This window comes from Homo sapiens, chromosome 3, assembly GCF_000001405.40.
Source record: "Homo sapiens chromosome 3, GRCh38.p14 Primary Assembly".
In the NCBI taxonomy this organism is placed as follows: domain Eukaryota; kingdom Metazoa; phylum Chordata; class Mammalia; order Primates; family Hominidae; genus Homo; species Homo sapiens.
In genome coordinates, this window is record NC_000003.12 from 8,465,929 (window position 1) to 8,484,548 (window position 18,620).

Sequence of the window (18,620 nt, forward strand, 5' to 3'; positions counted from 1 at the left end):
ATGTAGATAGCTTGAAATTAGCTATAGTGGATGCATTTACACCACAGAAATCAGCAAACTTTACAAACAAGGGTTTTTGTCTTTTCAGAGAGCCAGTTATTCGCTATTCAGCAGCACTCCACTCTTTTCTCTCCATTTTTATCCGTGAAGAAAATACGCTACTGAAGAAGTTAAGTGATCTACCCAAGGTCACACGGCCAGCAAACAGCAGAGTTGAGGGTCAAGTCAGGTCCATCTGAACTCAAATCCCATGTGTTTATTTTTTTCACAATGAATTTGCTTACATTTATAGTAAAGGGGGAGGAAGCAACTTGCATTTTTCATAGGTTCCTTGCATATCATGAGGGTCTTGAAGATATATCTGACCTGTTGTTTTTAATTTACCAAACACTTGTAGGACGTTTACTTTTACTCTCTAACAGCACTTTATAAGTGTGAATTCATCTAATCCTAGTAACAGCCTAGGAGGTCACTTTTATTGTTGTTCCATTTTATAGACGAGGTAACTGAAGCACAGGGAAGTAAGTAACTTGCGCAGGGTTATGCAGCAGAGCAGAGACTCACACCCAGATACTCTAACTCCAGACTCTGCATTCTTAACCATGAGGCTAGGCTGTGCCCCTATATTAACAAGAAGTGTTTGCTTCCAGCTTCAACAAAAAATCCAGCCACATCATTTGCCCTGGAAACATTAGTGGGAATTTTTAAAAATATTTATGGATGCCCCACACTTGCACCACAGGGGCAGGCAGCTTGCAGTAGGGTGTAGCATGTGGAATCCTTCAATCAGCAAAGTTCTAATTATTTCAGGATATAGCCCTCGTGCTGCTGAGAGTTGATGGCTGGGGCCTCTGAGGGGGCAGCCCAAGGGTGGTTCCTGGGAAAGATCCATATGACTATTTTAATTTTTTATTACAGAAATTACCAAACATTCACAAAAATTTTTTTTAAAAAAAGATCATTTTTAGTTTAGAACTGATTTCTTTACATAGTAAGCAACTAGAGAGCTTTCCACTCACAAGGTTAGAAGGAAAACAAGGTAAATCCCAGCAGATTCCAATCCCAACCAGGCCTCCCACCTCCACTGCTGGACCTCAACCCAAGCCAACAGCACCTTTGCCTGGAAAAGGCTGTAACTTCCTTACGGGTCTCCTGGTTCCATTCTTGCTGCACTAAACTCTGTTCTCCATAAAGCAGCCACAGTGAGCCTTATAAAGTAAACACCAGATTACATGACACCCCTACTGAAAACCCTCCAGTGGCTTCCCATCACACAAGAATCAAATCCAAACTCTTTGCCATGGCCCACAAACCCTGAGAGATCAACCCCCAGCCCATTTCCTCAACCTCATCCTCCACCAGCTCCCTTTATTCTCTCGGTCCCAGACAGCAGGCTTTCGATTCCTAACAGGCCAACTCCTTTTGATCCTCAGGGCTTTTACACTTGCTGTTGCCCTACCTTAAACCCTTTTTCCCCAAAATCGTGACATGACTGGCTCCTTGTCATCATTCAAGGCTCAGCCCGAAAAACACTTCCCCAGAGAGCCTTCCTTGGTTGCCCCTTTAAAGCACTCCTCTTGACACATTCCATCCATGTTCTGTGATCATAGCACTTGTCACTCGCTTACACACATCTTCATTTGGTTGTTCATTGTCTCTCTCCCCTAGCTAGGATGTAAATTCCATGAAAGCAGGGACTTTGTCATGATCACAACTGTTTTTCCAGTCTCTGAAAGGTGCCCAGCCCCAACAGGTGTTTAATCAGTGTGTCAAATGAACTAATAGTGAGTGATAAAAATAAAATACGCAGTAAGGATAACACCCACCCAATGTCTGACAGTCTTGGAGTCCTTTTCCTAAGTCGTAGGATCACTGTGGATATGTTCTGTGCTTTCATCTCTGAATGGAGTAAGAAGTCTCCAGATCTAAGTGACATACAACCAGAGTGCTACATACTCAGAAAAGCAAAGTGAGTTGGGGAACTAAGAGGTGCCTATCATTTTGTCTGCACTGAATCTTCAGATTGGAAAGAGGATGTGACAGATAGACCCTCTTGCTATTCATTCCTTGGTGTAATTCCCTCCCCTTGAGTGTGGGTAAGACCTGTGACTTGCTTCTAACCAGTGACAAAGGTGAATATGGCAAATCTCACTCCCATGATGACCTAAGTTGAGCCCAGACTTCAAGTCCACAGAAACAGTGAGGTAATAAACATGTGTGTTGTTTTAAGCCACTAAGTATGTGGTATATTATTACACAGCAATATAAAACTAATTCAGAGGAGATTTAAATCATTTATTCATTTACAGAAAGGAAGGTCCCCTCACTAAAGATGTCTGCACTAAGGCCAAGACAAAAGCAATTAGAATTTATACAGCCTTACCTATATTTCCCTATCAAGAAAATAAAGAGCATGATATGTTGATTTATCATTTCAAAGAAAGTCAAGGAATGTTAACAATGCCCAGTATGGTTGTGTTGTCCCTGGAAGTTGGCATTAAATTAGGCAAAAAGTCCTTGTGTACTTCTCTTCTGGGGCAGCAGGAAAAGAGAGTCAGGAGACTTGCTCCACTTCCCAGCTAGCCTTAGGGAAAGAAAGCTTCAAAGTATGGGGTATATAGTGGTAGCTACTGAGAAGAGAATAAGAGAACACGGTGGGTTGAGACCTTAGTGTTCGTGGGAAAATGAAGAAAGAAAAAAAGTCTGTTGTGCACAACATGGGCACTAAATGTAAAGGGGGTGCCTAGCAATAAAGGAGCCACTGGTAGATCCCAGTGTAGTAGCTACCTTATCTCTCTCTTTGTGTCTGTCTCTGAGAATCAGCTAAAAACATCTTCAGACCACTAACTTGACTCAGACGTGAACTTAAGGGCATCCTTGGGCACCCATAACCTTGGTCTCTCAGGCACTTCAGTCCAGTGATTGAGTGGGGCTCAATGGATGTCATACAATGATTCTGAACAATGCTAGTACTGGGGTGAATTCTGAGAGTGGGTTAGGTTTTAGGTTCAACCATTTCCCAAACTCCTGGGTAAGCTTAAAGACATACTTGTTATGGCCACATAGTAACCATTTTCATTCTTCACAAGTCATTAAAATCAGTGTCTTATGATGGCTGCCCTAAGCACCAAACATATTTTTGAAGTGAAAGTACAAAGATGTAATACAGATGCAAAAAAAAAAAAAATACCCATCAGAGAATAGAGCCAGGGGACCCATATACATCCTAGGATATTATTTTCATGTCTACTCGTCATCTTTGTTCTAAAGATGGAGTGTTTTCCTCCTGGAGGTTATGACTCAGTTGCCTGGGTTATAAGCAGTCTGTCTGTTGGGCATACCCATGCCACACCTTGGATTCTAGCACTGTCCAGGAGCAAAAAGGGGAACACAGGTCAAGGTGCTAGAGAACAGGAGAAGGAGGAGCTCTCTGAGGGAAGTAAGTGAGGGGCTCAGAGTTAAAAGAGAGATAAGTGACCAAGAGAGGCAAAAGGCTTGGACCAGGATTGGCATAAAGTTAAAGGTGAGAGTTAGACAAAGCTTAGGTAAGACCACAACTAATGTAAGCTTGTCTTCAGTAGTAATCATTTCCCTTGAGATGTGGCTCTCAAAGTGTAGTTCCTATATGAACAGCATGAGCATTACTAAGAAATTTGTTAAAAGCACAAATTCTTACGCCATACTCCAGATCTACTGCATCAGAAATTCTGGAGGTGGGGCCCAGCAATCTTTGTTAACAAGCCCTCCACATGATTCTGATACATGCTAGAGTTTGATAGCTATTACTCTTGGGTATCTAGTGCCCTCTCATTGTCTCCAGGTGTCCAAATTGCTGCCCTATCTAGAGATACCTGGGTTTTGCCTATATTCTTCTCACCTTCCCCCGTGGAATCCTATGAGTTCAATCTGCCAGGCCCTTCCATCCCTACTTTCCCTGGACTAAGCCACGTAATTCATGCTTAGCTGTTAACAGTTGGCATAAATTGAATTTTCAGCCCCAGTTATTTACCCTTCCCTGTATCTGCCACTGTTTGCCATGAAGCCATGCAGTTCCTCCACAAAGGCAGAATGTATGGCCCAAGCCCTTCTCTTTGGGCTTGGTCATGTGACTTGCTTCGGCCAACAGGATGATAGCAGATGTGATTCAAGGGCTTGAAATGTGCTGTGCAGTTGAGCTTACTCTCCTCTACTTGGCCATCCCCATGAGATGGGCTCCACCAGGGATATGTTGCCCCCACGGCCTGATCCCAGAATAAACACATGTGGATTAGAGCCAACCCAGACAGCTAAGCCAATGCACAGATATATAAGCAAAACATACACTCATTGTTGTATACCATAAGATTCTGGGGTTTTTGTTACCTAGCAATAGCTGATCACAGCACATTGAGCATCCACTAGTTTCAGTGCTAGCCTTGCAAGTGATCTATTTCCCCTACAAGATGGGACTGCTGAAATCCTAGTGACTTATGGCAGAGGAAGACTTTGAGGCCCTTTGCTTGGAGATAGTGAGTAATATATCTTAGTGGGGATCAGTTAGGGGGAATGGGGAGCTTTCACTTCTCTGAAGCCAACTGTGATCAGCATTGCCCTGAGAGTCACTCTTGGGTCAGACAATAAGAAAGACAATGAGGATGGAGTGGGAAACAGGATGGGAAGGAAAGACAAGAATGAATGCACAAAAACAAGGCAACAAGTTAGAGTAAAAAGAAAGTGAATAGCAACAAACATCATGTCATATTTCACCCTCACTCACTGCTGCTGGTGGCTCCAAAGGGAGTTTTTAAGTGTCTCAGCTCCAGCCAGACTTGTCTTCATTTACTCTTGCTTCTGACCATGGCTTCTGACCATGGCTGCCACATGATTTGCCTTTTACTTAGCAAGCCCAGAGGAGTTGCAGCAGTGCCAGGATGAAGAACTGCATTCTCTCAGTGGAAGGTGGCTGGGTACTATTTGTATTGAGTGAATTATTCACTCTTGAAGGCAAGCACTCCCATCCAGATTCATACACTGCAATTAATTGCTCCTGAAGTGCTTTCTTAGATGGGGTCACGGCAGTGAAATGCCACACATGCTTCCACTCAGCTGCCTGGGAACGCAGACAGCGAGAGAAGCAGTGTGGGTTACGCGCTAGCCATCCACGACACAACTCGGGCCACGCGGGGAAGACTGAGGTCACTCCTGACCATAGGCACTTGGCTTCCCTACGTGTTGAAAAATGCTTGTTATAGACATAGCAGAGTATTCGTCCTATAAGTCAAGGACAAAAGGGGAAATAATTTAGTAAGTACTTTCTGGGTATCCAGATGTACAGATTTCGGCATTTTTCAGCACTGAAGCAACAGTGCCTGAGATATTTGTAAAATAGCCTCTCTTCCCAACCCCAATTAATTTAGCTGGTCTGTGCCATGTCAGTGTCATCTATTCTCCCCCCAGCTCAGGGATCCAGGCTGGCCCCAGCCTCTCAGAAATTAAGGGAGGTGAAGGATAGTGCTGTTGGTTGAGCACTTGCTATGTGCTAGGCATTCTGCCAAGTGATTTACATAAGTTGTGTTAATTCTCCTTCTGACTCTGTGAGGTTGTGTCCTTATGCCCATTTTACAGATAAGAATAGTAAAACAGAAGTAAAGCAACTTGCTCGAAGCACACATAGTTGTTAAGTTGAGAGCCAGGGTTGGAATCTAGACTTTCTTAGAAACTGGTGTTTGCACCCTTACCATAATACATTACAGGGGCTTGTCCATTTCATCATTAGAAATTTTACTATTAGTTCCTTGGGGGCAGGGAGTGGATCTGCTTTTTCTCTGTGCTAAGTTTACATGCGTTGTCTCATCTAGTCTTCTGAATACCAGCATCATCCACATTTTATAGATGAAAGAAAGTAAAGCTCACAAAGGTTAAATAACTTGTCTAAGACCACACAGGTAAACAGTGGTAGAGCCAGGATATGAACACAAGCCTGAATCCCTAATTGTGTTCCCATTCCTTATGTTGTGGGTACCTATGGCCCCATCACACCAGTTGAAAAGTGGTTACAAGTCAAAAAAGGAATGCTGTAAAAAAATCATGGCTTTCTTAGAGCTGCTATAGACACCCCAGACCTCTTAGAGACACGTGACCTGCATCCACAGCAACCTTGAAGCATTAAAAATACTTAGAGAACAAACTCTACCCTCTCGCAAAACTGTGCTGACCCAGCCTTTGGAGCTTACCTTTGGAAACACCAAGAATGAAAACAATGACAACAATGGATTTGAATAAGCAATCTATAAAAGTAAGTTGCTGCTTGGATAAGAAACAATATTAAAAATATATTCCAAGGGTCACGTTTCCCCAGCCCTGAAAATATCCGAAAATGGAGATAAGAAAGAAAAATAGGAAAAAAGAAAACAAAACAAAACAAAACAAAAACAGAAAGAGCCACGTTCTATCATATTCTCCCTTAGTTAATCCCAATGCTCCATAAGCTCAGAGAGACATCAAGGAGTTTCCATGTGGACATATCAGGGGCTCCCAATTTGAGCTTATATCATAATAAATAAAAGCATTTAAAAATTTTTTTAAACCGCTTTTTCAGTTCTGTTTTAGTTGTGCCTGCCTAGCATCTGTCCTCTCTCCTTCTGGGAGTATCCCCCTGATTTTCCTGGAGGGGAGTGACTCTCTCCCACTTGGGTCCATGTGGTTTGGGAGCAGGGAGCTCTACTCCCAGTCCCAAGGGAACCCTAGACAAGCCAGGGTTCTGCAGTCAGCACATGCCATTTTCTTGGCCACAGTGATCAGTTCAAGGACGGGCTGGCTGCTCAGCAGGGTCCACTCAGAGGGAGTCTGAGACTTGTGAGGGAGCTCCCAGGAACAGCAGCTCTCCTCTCCTTTCTGCCCCTGGAGGAAAGGGAGGGGCTGGGGAAGGGGAGCCAGTGAGAAGGGCTCTACCTGGGAGGAAGCTGAGAGAGGGCTGCGGAGACACTGACCCCCATGTGAGACCCTTCCCCAGATGGCCAGGAGTGACCTCAGCTTTCCCTGTGTGACCAGGGTTGTACCCTGAGAAATGCAGAATTTGGTTGTCTGTCAATGGCAACTGAAAAATCCTAGCTAAAATAATATTGATGAGTAGAATCCAGAAGAGAGGCCTAGACAGCCACCCTCTATATTCTGGGGCACTAAACTGCGAAGGTGATATTCACCAAGTGCCTTCTATGCCGCACACCCTGGGCCAACACTTTTCTTACTTGCTTCTATCCAAGTGTACCCTTTTCCTGGAATCATCTACCTGCTCAACTGCATCCAGTGATCTCCTACTCACCCTGCAATACCCTCTTTCACCTCCTCCTCTCAGAGGAAAGTGCCATCTTCTCCTGGCTCCCGCAGCACTCAACCCACAGCTTGTCGACATCTATGTCATACTTCCTTATTTTATATCTGCCTATATGGTGATTTCTATATTAACAAATTAAGAAATACTCAATGAAAAAAAAAGGTCTTACAATACATGAAGGAATAAGATAGAAAGTGAGGCTGCACATAGTGGCTCATGCCTGTAATCCCAGCATCTGGGAAGGCCAAGGTGGGAGGATCACTTGAGCTCAGGAGTTCAACACCAGCCTAAGCAACATAGTGAGACCTCATCTCTATAAAAAAGTCAAAACATTAGCCTAGCATACTGGTGCACACCTGTAGTCCCAGCTACTCAAGAAGGTGAGACAGAAGGATTGCTTGAGCCAAGGCTGCAGTGAGCCATGATTGCGCCACTGCACTCCAGCCTGGGTGACAAAGTGAGACTCCGCCTCAAAAAAATAAAATAGATAGAAATTGAGGTAAATTTTCCCTTTCAATCCAGAATCTCTTCCTGGAGGTAAATATCAGCACTTGGCGTGACTCCATCCAGAAGCTTTTCACTAGACTACACTGAACATCTGTCTGTCTCAGGACATATGAAACCTCCAAAGACAGAGAATTGGCTTCACTTATTTTTTAGTGGCAGTGTGGGGCTGGATGGCCTTGATTAAAATGTTAGCTCAAACACTGACCAGCTTGTGGCATGGGAAGAGTTAATTAAGCTCTGTGACTCAGTTTCCTCATCCGTAAAATGGGGCTTATAATCGCCATCTATCTTACCAGCTTCTTGTGGACATTAAATATGTTAATATATTTAAAACACTTTGACCAGGGCCTGGTACACAGTAAGTGCAATATAAATGGTTGCTATTACTAATATTAGTCTATATCTTCAGTCTCTAGTCCTAAACAAAAGTGCTGACTGAATGAATATGAGTTTCTGTTGATCTGTACAACCTCAAGTGTGCGTGTAGCCAGATAACCCCCTCATATTCCCACCTATTGTCCCCACGCAGGCTTCTAACACTGACATTCCCTCCTCTTAGCAAGCACCACCTTCATTACCACCACTGCTTACAAGCTCTTATTATGTGCCAAAGTCTACTGCAAAAGACTGTTATGTATCTTCTCTCATTTTATCCTCTCAATATTTCCATTTTTAAAAAAGTATTCACCCATGTTCATAGCAGCACTATTCACAGTAGCCAAATGGTGAAAACAATCCATGTACCCATCACCAGAAGAATGGAGAAACACAATATGGTCTGTCCACACAATGCAATATTAGCAGTCTTAGGAAAAAGGAAATTCTGCCACATGCTATAATGTGGAAGAACCTTGAGGACATTATGCTAAGTGAAATAAGCCAGCCACGAAAGGATATATATGGTATGATTCCACTTATATGAGGTGCTTAGCACAGCCAAATTCATAAAGACAGAAGGTAGAATGGTTATTGCCAGGGGCAGCAGGGAGAGGGAATGAAGGATTGGTTTTTAATGGGTACAGAGTTTCAGTCTGGCAAGATATAAAAGTTGTAGAGATGGATGGTGATGATGGTTGCACAACAACGTTAATGTATTTAATGCCACTAAATGGTATTCCTAGAAATGGTTAAATGCTAAGTTTTATGCTCTGTGTATTTTATTACAATTTAAAAAGTACTATGATTATCTCATTTTCCAGTTGAGGAAACAGAAGTTCAGAAAGGTTAAGTCACCCTCAAATCCAAGGCCACAAGGCTGGTCAGTGGCAGAGCTCAGGTGAAAATGCACACCTGCCTGGCCTGCCCTGTGCCACCCTCAACTGCCCTTCAGATCTTCTCCATGCTCCTTTTTCAGATCATCCTCCATGATCCTGCCTCTCACACCCTTCAAGGCCACTAGCAGGGCTATCCCAGGTGCAAGCCATTCAGTGTGGCCTGTCTGACTTGACTTGCTCAACCCTGTTGAGATCTAGGTCACATTTCATGAAATGTGTGGTCTTCGGCCGTTTCAGTGGTTAGCAAATTCTGGTTGAGAGAAACAGGCCTTGCTCCTAGACATTATTTGGTTCAACAAAAAGAAATCCTGGAGCACCACCAGCCCTAAACACAGAAACAAGTCTCCAACAAGGTGTTTTCTTTTGGCCCAAGGACCAGAATAGCATATGTTGCATCAGAGTGTTCCAATGTTCAGATGGGCCTGATCTTGCAAGCTTTGGGTTCCACATCTAACTCTGTCAATCACTGTGGGGACCCACCCTCCTCATTCCAGGGAGTCTCCCAACTTCATTGTACCTCTGTTATCTCTCTTGTCATGAAGGATCCACAAGAACAACTCATCTGTTCCATAGAAGCTCTTGGAGGTCTAACAAAGAAATCAGAGAGATCTTCCATCTGGGAAAAGACAAGCTCTTCCAACCCAAAAGAACAAATATTCTCTTCTGCCCCCTCTCACTTTTTCTCTTCAGTGGTCTCCATTCCCAGTCCTCTGGGGTGGATGGGCAGGGGTGTGCTCATTATCTAGCTCCCAGCAAATATTGTCAATAACACGTCACTCATCCATTCCATGGTCTATGTGACAGGCACTGGACCTGGCTGCAGGACTATAACAGTGACCCAAAGAGGCTCAGTCCCTGTCTTCAGTGAGCTCATGGCCCCCTGAGCTTATCACAAAAGAGCCTCCATTTCCTCATCTATAATATGGGAATGAGAACAGTCCCTACCACAGAATATTTTTTCAGGGATTCAAAGACAATGCATGTGAGATGATGATGATGATGACGACGAAACATTGCCATGTGCCAGGAACTGTTAGAAGCCCTTTAATTCACTTGATTCATTCATCAAACTTATGAGACAGTTTTTATCATTTGTCTCATTCTACAGATGAAAAAATTGAGGCACAACGAGTTCATGATTAACTAAAGAAAACAGAAGGACAGAGTTGGGATCTGAACTCTAGAAATCAAGATCCTGAGTCTGTTTTTCTAACCTCTGCTCTATGCCTGACTCATTGTACACTGTAAGCATGGCAGTTGCAAGACGATTGACATGAGTTGAGGGGGCTTCAAACACAAGCCCAGGCACACACAGGATTATCCTGCTCACTGTCCTCTCCCAGCCTGGCCTTGACTCTTTGTTTCTGGGATGAGTTAGTTTCAAATTTATAACCCATAGTTATTCATTTTATAATGACCTAAATTAGAATATATGCAGAAAGTGAAAGCAGTAATCAAGAAAAAAAAAAAAAACGAGAAACATGGAACTAGAATCAGGAAAATCCTGTCCACCAGGAGCCTCCTCCACCTCCATCACTTACTTTGTCTTTGGAGCTGTTACTTCTATTTGAAATTATCTTGTTTATTGATTTATTTGCATGTTTACAAGATATCTCTCCCTTCCAGAAGAACCACAGGGATGTTACCTGTCTTATTCATCAGTGGATGTTACCTGTCTTATTCATCAGTGGATTCCCATAGTCCACACAGCGACTGCCATATGTGGTTAAGGAAGCTAAGACCATGAAAATCTGACAACCCAAGTTCTCAGGGCTAGCAAAGAGTAAAGCCAGAGTTAGAACTGGTTTCTATTTCTGCAATTGCATAATAAATAGACTATCTGTCCAGTATCTACTTATTCCTCTAATCTGATTATTTAGATTGTCAGAGTAATGTCCACATGCCAGGCCCTAGACCTAGGGACAGGAGATAACCAGGTAGACATAATTTCTCAATGACTTGCCACCAGACAGGACAGATAATGAGGCAAGCAGTTCGTTATGACCCAGTCTGAACAATGTAGCCAGTGCCTACTTCCCGGGATCACCCTGGAATTGAAGGACAGAGTATATGAAAGTATGTCCCCACCTCCAAATTCAGACTGTGCTGTGGGCTTTATGTGCATCATTTCTAACCTGTCCTCAGCCCTGCAAAGTGGATTGTCCTGGTGATTGATTGTTGTATAACAAAACCCTAAAATAAAAATATTGGCTTAAAAATTCCCATCGTTTATTTTGCATATGAATCTGGAGGTTGACTGGGCTCAGCTGGGCAGTTTCTGCTCAGGGCCCTCATGTGGGTGCAGTTGGATGGTGACTGAGATAGGGTCATCTCAATGGTGTATTCACTCATGTGTCTAGATGTTGTGCTGGGAAGTCTCCACAACTGGGGCTGGAAGAGCGGGAGCTTCTTGTCCATCTTTCATCCTCTGTGTTTTCTTTTTACATGGGGTCTCCACCTGAGAGCCTCAGAGTCCTGGGTTTCTTACACCATGGCTAAAGGCCCCAGAGTGCAAAGTTGCATGGCCTTTTCTAACTTGGCCTTGGGTGCCATGCAGCATCACTTCATCCCATTCTGTTCTTTGAAGCAGCCACAAAGGCCCCCCACAAAGGGAGGAGACACTGATGTCACTTCTTAATAGGAGGAAAGAATTTGCAGACATATTTTAAAAGTACTACCTGGATATTAGCCCCCATTTTAATAATGGGAAAACTGAAGCTCAGAGAGGTTAAGGAACTTGGTCAAGGTCCCCAGAGCCAGTAAAAGGCATTAAACTCAAGTCTATCTGACATCTACGAGCACCACCTGCCCAGTGTGCCTGAAGCATTGTAGGTGCTCAATAAATGTTTGTTGAATGAACAAAAAAATGAGAGCCGTCATGATGAGCATTCTTTTTTTTTTTTTTTTTTTTTTTTTGAGACGGAGTCTCGCTCTGTCGCCCAGGCCGGACTGCGGACTGCAGTGGCGCAATCTCGGCTCACTGCAAGCTCCGCTTCCCGGGTTCACGCCATTCTCCTGCCTCAGCCTCCCGAGTAGCTGGGACTACAGGCGCCCGCCACCGCGCCCGGCTAATTTTTTGTATTTTTAGTAGAGACGGGGTTTCACCTTGTTAGCCAGGATGGTCTCGATCTCCTGACCTCATGATCCACCCGCCTCGGCCTCCCAAAGTGCTGGGATTACAGGCGTGAGCCACCGCGCCCGGCCATGATGAGCATTCTTAATTTTCCCTTCTGCCATGCTTAATCAATGGCTCCCTGGAAACCACTGCATTCAGGAAATGATAGCCAAGTATCATGGCAATTGACAATCAAGGAAGAATTTTAAAGAAGCTATTAGGTTGGTGCAAAAGTAATTGTGGTTTTTGCCATTACTAAAACGCAATTACTTTTGCACCAACCTAATAGGACTGTCTTTGTTCACCCCAGGCCTCCCAAACCCCAAATCAAGTAAGATACTTGGAGCTGCCAGTCAAGACCCAATTATCCAAGACTGTGGAGACCATGCTGTGGACTGGCCAGATGGATTGGAGGCTGGTGGGGACCATTCCCTCCCCCAGCACACTAGCCACTTTGAAACCTAATGACAAGAAGAGTTAAAAAGTTGGGGACAGGTGCTCTGAGATTTACTGGGAGAAAATACAGCACAGATGTACAGATGAAGAAACTAAGCCCAAAGACGTAGGGACCATTTCAATGCTCTCCAGCCCATTGGTGCTATGGCAGGGAAAAGCATCAGCCCTCGCATTGCGGGTCCATAGACGTCTCAGTAGGAAGATAGCATGGACCAGGTATTTAGGATATACACCAAATCAGACAGGCCTGGGAGGAATGCTGGCCCTCCATGTATGGCTACATGATCATGACCAAGTCATTTAACTCTAGGACATTCAGTTTCCCCACTGAGAAAATATAGCTATTAATTCTCTTTTTGGATTAGTAACAAGAACATATGAATAACTCCTATAAAAAAGTCACTAAGTGTATTAGTCTGTTCTCATGCTGCTAATAAAGACATACTCAAGACTGGGTAATTTATAAAGGAAAGAGGTTTAATGGACTCACATTCCACATGGCTGGGGAGGCCTAACTATCATGGCAGGAGGCAAAGGAAGAGCAAAGGTGCGTCTTACATGGTGGCAGGCAAGAGGTCATGTGCAGGGGAACTTCCTTTATAAAACCATCAGATCTCATGAGACTTATTCATTATCATGAGAACAGCACAGAAAAACCTGCCCCCGTGATTCAATTACCTTCCACTAGGTCCCTTGCATGACACATGGGGATTATAGGAGCTAGAATTCAAGATGAGATTTGGGCAGGGACATAGCCAAACCATATCACTAAGTAAAGCACAACTAAAGTAATAGGAAAATGTGGGCAAAAGAAAGGAACAGATAATTCACAAAAGAGGAAACATAGAGCCAAATATATATATATGAGTTGTTCAAAATCTTTAATGATCAAGGAAATGCAAATCAATACCACAATTTTTTTAATGTTCATTAGTTTGGAAAAAAATTTAAAACTGACAATTCCAAACATTGGACTGACTATAATCTATATATTTCCATAAGCATGTAAATTGGTGCAACCACTTTGGAAAATCAAGATACACAAGAATGTTCAAGGCCACACTGTTAACAAGAGCAACAGTCTGGTGATAACACAAAAGCCCATTCGAGGAAGAATGAATGAATAAACTGTGGGATATTCCCACAGTAGAATATTTAAGAGCATATGGCAGATACTTAGAACATAGTAAGAGTCGAAATGGATAAACTACAGAGAAATGCAACAACACAGATGGGTCTCAGCAATGTATTAAGTAAAGACAACAAGTCCCTAAAATTACCTAAAGTGTGATCACCTTTTATATAAATTTTAAAACAACTAGAATGGAATAGACACATGTATTTATGAGTATGTATAGGTGAAATAAAGTTATATAAAAAGGAAAGGTGGGGGTGACGGACATGAGACTCAGGACAATAGTATGATGGGGGGGCAGGGATGAGATGAGGGAAGAGCCCTACACTTTACAGGTAAGTTATTGTCAAAGTCTGAGATTTTGTTTTAAATTTGAGGTCATGAGTATTCATTACATGATTCAAATATGAAATTTTTAGTATGTGTATAAACCAAGAATCCTTAATTAATTAATCCTTAATTTAATTTTGTGAAGCAGAGGACCAGTGACGACAATTCCTTCTTGGTCAGGATGCTGTGCGGATGCAGAATGAACAGCCCAGCTCTTACAGAACTCCACAGCACACAGCAGGCCCACAGTAATAGGGCGGTGGTTGTTATGTGTATATGTGGCTCAAAAACAGCTTGAAGTAGGCTAAAGAAAATAAAATCATTTCACTCCAACCCCCTCTGCCTTGTGGCTTCACTGATTTTAAGAATAAATACAACCTTTCCATTCTTGAGGGGCCCATGCTTTTAAAAATTGCCTAGCTCTTGTCTGATAGATAAGACCTACTCACTTCCAAATCTCAGCAGATTTGTTTTGAACAGCGAGCTCTTTAAGGTACTGGGATGTCTCGCACTATCCTTTGCTTCATAAGGAGCTCTCACAGTTTGATCTCTGGCCCTGTCCTTTTGAACCATTTCACTTGGTCTGGACCTCAGGTTAAAAGAAAAACTGGCTTTCCACAGAGAGTGAGGGTACCTTGTTGACACGGCTCTTCTACCTGGCCATAAGTTAGAGTTTTTTTTTTTCTTTTTCTTTCCTCCTGTGCAACACAAGGAACAGAGAAGTCATTTAAGCCATATGAATTCTTGCAGGTTCAAAAAGCAAGTTGCCAGCCTTAAAAACATGTCTCTGTTTCCTTTGGCTAATCTGCAAATCCAGTAATATTTTCAGATAAGAAGGTAAACAGAGGATGGAGGAGATTAAGGAGGCCTATCTTGGGCTAGTATCTTTATAGAGCGACCAGGAGAAACAATGTTACTGAAGCCTTTCCTTTTCAGGGAAAAGAATAGTAGCCAAGCCCATAATAGCCTCAAAACCTGGGAGGGTGATTGTATTAGTCTGTTCTCACATTGCTTTGAAGAAATACCCGAGACTGGGTAATTTATAAAGAAAAGAGGTTTAATTGTCTCACAGTTCCGCATGGCTAGGAGGCCTCAGGAAACTTACAATCAGGCAGAAGGCACATCTTTGCAAGGTGGCAGGAGAGAGAATGAGAGCCAAGCAAAGGGGAAGGCTCTTTATAAAACCATCAGATCTCTGAGAATTCACTCACTATCACATGAACAGCATAGGAATAACCACCGTGCCATGATCCAATTACCTCCCACCAGGTCCCTCCCATGACACGTGGAGATTATGGGAACTACAATTCAAGATGAGATTTGGGTGGGAACACAGTCAAACCATATCAGTGATAGAGGGAGGTACTTCTCTCTGCACCTTCAAGACAAACAGGAACGCAGTGAATAGGGTGCCAGACATACTTGCACCAGATCTCAACCTCAAGGCTTAGAGACACGGAACAGTGTCAAAAAAGAAATTGGTAGTCTACAGTCAGAGCTCTAGGATGAAATGAGCTGCCTGGAGAGGGAGCAAGTTCCTCATTTAAAAAAAAATCCATTATCTTTCAGTAAGTCCTTATTTGCAAGGATGCTGAGAAACAGTCTCAAGATGTTAGAACCAGATCAAAGGTTTTAACCTAGGGCTTGAATTTGGGGAGGTAAGGGGGATGAATTATCAGAAACTGAAGGTGAAAGTTTGCATAGATTGAATGAGGATTCACATCTTCTATAATATTCTCAAAGAAGTGTGTGTTCCTAAGAAAGACAGTGAATCAATAGTATAAACAATCCTTAAGGTTGCTTCGCCCACCAAATCCCAAGACCTGGAATCATTTATGTCTTTGAATTCAGGCTGAGGTAAGTAGATATTTTGTAGGCTTAATTTAAATATGTACCTAACTAGAAAGTAGGCTCCACGAAGACAAGGATTTTTATGTTCCCTTCATTGCTCCATCACCAGGCTCTAGAACAGTGATTGACACATACTAGGTACTTGGAAAATATTTGTTGTTGAGTGGATGAATTGACCCTAGCTGAAGCCTGCATTTCTCTTGCTTAGTGTGACCCACAGACAAATTATACCCCATATGGCTGGCAGTGGAGGTGGCTGGACCTTAGCAAACACTCATCTTTGGACTTTATCTGCACCAAGTCAAGGAGTATCCCACATAATGCTACTGACAACGACATCTGCAATCGATTGTCAGTGCCTGATTATTTCATCTAATGGAGCAACTCTGAAATGTCACCCTACCCCCTACAGCAAAACAACCCTTCCCAGTCTAGAAAGGAAGGTGTTAACTGTGGCCCTGGACACCGGATTTATAAAAGGCATCCGCTGTTCCTGACTTCCAACCCTCCCATGTTGTTGATATTGAAACCTAATTGTGTTGATGTTGGTCTCCAAGGTAAACAAAGCTTTACAGGGGAAATGTTTGGACTTAGAGATTCCTGTTTGCTCCAAGTATGGATTAATGGCCAGAATAATGAACATTTTCATTCATTTCCTTTTAAAGTGCTCCTGCTAATGTAGCTAAGTGGACAGCTCAAAACAGTTCCTATTGGCCAATTATCAAAAACAGTTTCTGGAATATGACCAATGCTTCCCACACTTGTGGAATTTTCACTTAGAGAAAATCCCAAGACTTGTACCTTTATGAAGGCCCCAAGATCCTGAGGGTAGAGCAAGAAAAAAGGGGAAGTACAAGAAGGGAAAAGAGAGAGGAAAGAGAGGGATGGACATCAATTGCTGACGTGAGTGCTTATTACATGCCTGGTACAAAGTTAAGTTTTTCAAATATACGACCTCATTAAATCCTTTCGACTGCCCTAAATGAAATGTTTTCTTTTCCCTATTTTGCAGATAAGAAAACTAAGGCCCAGAGACAGTTCAAGGTCACACAGTTGAAGTATGACCATGCTGGGATTTGATGCGAAAGCCTGTGCTCTTATCCACTAGGTTGCACTGCCTCTCAAATCTTGTTCCTCTCTCTCCTTACCATATGTAGTTTTCCCCATAGTGTGAGGATGGTTTCTGAATTCAATTGTGAGTCCTCTGGCCTGGAGAGAAGACATAATGCATATATGAAACAAGTAACTAATGGTGGTAGCAGATGGTAAAGGCTGGAGATGGAAGTAGAGGTTGGTGGGTAGACCAATGAACTTGGACCTTCTCTGGAGGGCAATGGGGGCCCAGGCAGGGTTGGAAGTAGGGGAGGAGCATGGCCAGGACTGTGTGTTAGAAACAGCATGCTGATGGTGGTGTGCAGCCCACATGGGGTCCTGAACAAGACAGACACCACTGGGCTGAGGAAGTCGTCTAGCCCATGAGTGGCACTTGTGGAAGGACTGAGCCTGGCAAACCTCAGCCTCGTAACCCAGTCTGGGAAGCCAGCCTCTGTTGGGTTTGGCAAGGAGACATGTATGAGCTCAGCAGGAGGGAATGCAGAGTGTCACTGGTTTAGAGAGGAAAACGATCTGCTGAACCAAGACCACAGCTGGGCCATCCTACAAAAGGGCTTGGCAATGTGTCCAGAGCTGCCTTTGTTTTCAAACACATGTAGTATCACATCCACACTGGAGGAAGCCTCAACCTTGGCACTCAGGGGCTTACAGCTCTGAAAACAATTCCTAGGAATCTTGCTCCTCCAGGTGTGGTCCAGAGACCAACAGCATGAGCATCACCTGGGAGCTCATCAGAAATGCAGAATCTCAGGCTCCACCCAGAACCTGCATTTTAAAAAGTTTCCCAGGTAATTATTTTAAAATTGAGAATCACTGTCCCAACATAGTGAATCAGAATCTCTGGAGCTACATTTCTCAAATCTGCATAATTTCTAAGTTCACCAGATGAATTAGACACATACTAAAGTTTGGTCACCAGGCCAGGAAACCTTCGAAATGTCCTAAGAATGTCAACATTGCAGCATCTAAACTACGTTCTTCATAGGCCTCCCATACCCAGGAGTGTCACAAAAATTCCCTGTGAGCAGGCATGGGCAATATTATGATTTGACCTGCAATGTATCAACTTCTAAAAAAGGCATTGTAACAGCTTATACACAGAACAGGTGGTCAGCTAAGGAGCATAATAGAATGTGTTCTAATGAAACTCCACAACCTGCCACCCACTGAGCATGTCTCTCCATATCTGGAGGAGTTCAGAGCCTAAAACCCCACCACTGGCTTAAACTGTGCTTCTTTTTAAAAATTACAAGCTTTTTTTTTCTTGAATAAACACACACACACACACACACACACACACACACACACACACTTACACTCAGATTAAGTTTTTGATGACTTTTCAGAGCCCGCTTTTCCTAGTGGCAATTTATTAGCAAGTATTTTCAGTCTACCTCCAAAGAATATCTTGGATGTTCCAGCTCTCCACACATCCACTGCCACATCTTGTCTCATCTGCATGCCTGCAAGAACCTCCCAGCTGATCTCTCCACCTCTACTCCTGCCTTTTCTGGTCTCTACTCCACA

The 18,620-nt window shown here is 43.2% G+C and overlaps 1 long non-coding RNA gene across 1 annotated transcript in view, besides 1 other annotated feature; it reads right to left on the reverse strand.

Moving 5' to 3' along the window:
* LMCD1-AS1 (LMCD1 antisense RNA 1) overlaps positions 1-18,620 on the reverse strand; it is a 280,512-nt gene that overhangs the window by 244,782 nt on the left and 17,110 nt on the right. The window lies entirely within an intron of this gene.
* Positions 17,455-17,749: an enhancer, noted in NCBI's record as "tiled region #2381; HepG2 Activating DNase matched - State 5:Enh". NCBI's record gives its function as "activates a minimal TATA promoter and a strong SV40 promoter by Sharpr-MPRA in HepG2 cells {active_cell/tissue: HepG2}" and the evidence as "EXISTENCE:reporter gene assay evidence [ECO:0000049][PMID:27701403]".